Raw genomic sequence first — 2815 nt, 5'->3', positions numbered from 1 at the left:
AGGACCACTGCATTTTAATTTGTGCAACATATATTTGAATTATATTTGACAGGATCATGTACTTGTTACTGTTACTCTTTTGAAGTTTAAGCTTTAGAAAAGGCAGGTGCATGGATATTGAATAGTCTTAAGCTGGACCATCGGCTATTTCAGACTGGCTTACTCAGGCATATTCCAAAACTCTGGTAGTTTGACTAAGTACTTGCTCAATTTGGAACAGCTAAAAATGATATCCCCAGGCTTACTCACAATTCAGGTTTTACATTAAACCTACCTTCTTTAAGGAAAAGAGCCTGAGATAGAAGGTGCCTTCCTATTCTTTTTCCTGACAAGCAGTGTAACAAAACCATTTACTTTCCTGTAACGACAGTCACAAATGACCAAATGTCCAGTCCTTAGTTCTGTGGCCAACATTCTGTGTTATTCAAATATGAACCTTGGCTGAGATCCTATGATCAAGAAGCAAGCAGCTATGACAGAAGTATTTTAATGCTTAGAGAAAAAAAAAACAAAGGTAGCAACTCACTGTTAGGTTAGGGTTAGTCTGCAGATACCTGGATTAAGATATCTTAAGCCACTGTGTGGTCCCTGGCTGACCAGAGTGAGTTCATTTATATCTATCTCCTCTATGTGGATAACAATAAAAACATAACAGAGGGAGATGGATTCCATAAATATGACTGTTGAAAATGTTATAGCTACAGAGGATCTAAGATATATGTTTGGTAGTTGGACTAATGTATTGTTTGGATCAAATAAAATATGTGTTAGAGAATGCAACTGTTTATTCAAAGTATAGGGGCAAAGTTTAGGCCCAGATCAGTCAGGAAGGTGGCAAACTGTTTCACACATTTCCTGACATGTAAATCAGAAATGTTGTGTAGAACAGAACTTATATACAAGCTAAAATAAGTAAACACAAAACAAAAGATAGTGACCAAAATCTTTAGCAAGAAGAGGTGCATCACAAAAGGAAAGAGGAACAGGAATGACCTGATATGAAACTATAAGGTACCCCTGTAAGAGATATGAATGGAGGCTGCTACAGTAAGTCTAAGGCCAACAATGTAGAGAGAAACAGATGAAATTTTTCTTCGTATTGTTAAATTAAAATGCAAACATTCGAGCTTCCCAGCTTCCACATCAAAGTAGAAAAAAAAAGAAATTTGCATTAGAAATGTGTGTCTAGCTTTTATGAAGGATGACAGAAAAAATTATTGTTTCTCAAAGCAGTTTTTCTAAAAGTACATTTGTAAAATGGACAATGTGCCTCAAGTTACAAAAAAATATTTTATTATTCTCTATGTAAATATGTTTCCCATGAGTACATTTAATGATGTTTAGACTAACAATTTTGTTTAAATTTTAAGTTAATAAGATAAACTTTGAAACTGGGAAAAAAACAAATAGCAAAGTTAGCATAATTTTAGTGCCAGTGGTTGCACAGGAGATCCTGATTCTCCAGCTTCTCAGTCATGGCAAAAGGAGCAACAGTCCCAGCTCTGTCGTTTTTCTGGAGGAGTTCTAGCAATCATTTAGAAGATCAGCCCAAGACCTGCTCCACCAACTCTCCAATCGTGTAAGAAACTAATTCTATATATTAAATTTTGTTTGCCTATATTACCTAAAGATTTATTCTTATAATCTATAATGGAAAATTGGAATATTGAGTATGCTGATGAAAAAGATTACATTTTCTTAAACAAAAGTTCACTCCTAAATGATAAATTCAATTATAGGAGCAAATTTAGGTAGGCATAAAAAGAGAAAAGTGAAAATACAATTGAAAAATTGAGGCCGGGCGCGGTGGCTCACACCTGTAATCCCAGCACTTTGGGAGGCCGAGGCGAGTGGATCACGAGGTCAGGAGATCGAGACCATGGTGAAACCCCGTCTCTACTAAAAGTACAAAAAATTAGCTGGGCGCGATGGTGGGCGCCTGTAGTCCCAGCTACTCAGGAGGCTGAGGCAGGAGAATGGCGTGAACCCAGGAGGCGGAGCTTGCAGTGAGCCGAGATCCCACCACTGCACTCCAGCCTGGGCGACAGAGCGAGACTCTGTCTCAAACAAACAAACAAACAAACAAACAAACAAACAAAAAAGAAAAATTGAAGCAACTCCACATGCATTCCAGCTTTACAGAGTGAAAGTGTACGTGAAATTTTATTAAGAGACAATAATTTATAATGCATAATTAACTCAAGAATTAATATTATTTGACACAATTTTGAGCATACTAAAAGGTAACTGGATTTTATAATCTAATTAAAAAGTCATATAAGTAAATACAATGAGTATTACCTTTATAAATACTTTAAGATGCATTCGAGTATATGCTATAATGGAAATATTCGGCCGGGCGCAGTGGCTCACGCCTGTAATCCCAGCACTTTGGGAGGCCGAGGCGGGCGGATCACAAGGTCAGGAGGTTGAGACCATCCTGGTTAACATGGTGAAACCCCATCTCTACTCAAAATACAAAAAAAATTAGCCGGGCATGGTGGCAGGCGCCTGTAGTCCCAGCTACTCAGGAGGCTGAGGCAGGAGAATGGCGTGAACCCAGGAGGCGGAGCTTGCAGTGAGCCGAGATTGCGCTGCTGCACTCCAGCCTGAGCAACAGAGACAGACTCTGTCTCAAAAAATAAATAAATAAATAAATAAATAAATTAGTAAATTTTGCATAAGTAAATTATACCTCAGTAAATCTGGCTAAAATACAATGTAAATATGTGTATCAACCACCATTAATTTAAAAATTCTAGGGCCAGGCATGATGGCTTATACCTGTAATCCTATCACTTTGGGAGGCTGAGGT

At 37.8% G+C, this 2815-nt stretch overlaps 1 annotated feature.

Annotated features, from left to right (window-relative positions):
- Positions 1878–2045: a silencer, noted in NCBI's record as "fragment chr9:45710113-45710280 (GRCh37/hg19 assembly coordinates)". NCBI's record gives its function as "represses an EF-1alpha promoter that drives an FKBP-Casp9 reporter gene in an ReSE screen in phorbol 12-myristate 13-acetate-treated (for megakaryocytic differentiation) K562 erythroleukemia cells {active_cell/tissue: K562(+PMA)}" and the evidence as "EXISTENCE:reporter gene assay evidence [ECO:0000049][PMID:32094911]".

Source organism: Homo sapiens, chromosome 9 (assembly GCF_000001405.40).
Source record: "Homo sapiens chromosome 9, GRCh38.p14 Primary Assembly".
In the NCBI taxonomy this organism is placed as follows: Eukaryota; Metazoa; Chordata; class Mammalia; order Primates; family Hominidae; genus Homo; species Homo sapiens.
The sequence above is the reverse complement of the archived record's forward strand: the minus strand, read 5'-3'. Positions and strand labels throughout refer to the sequence as shown.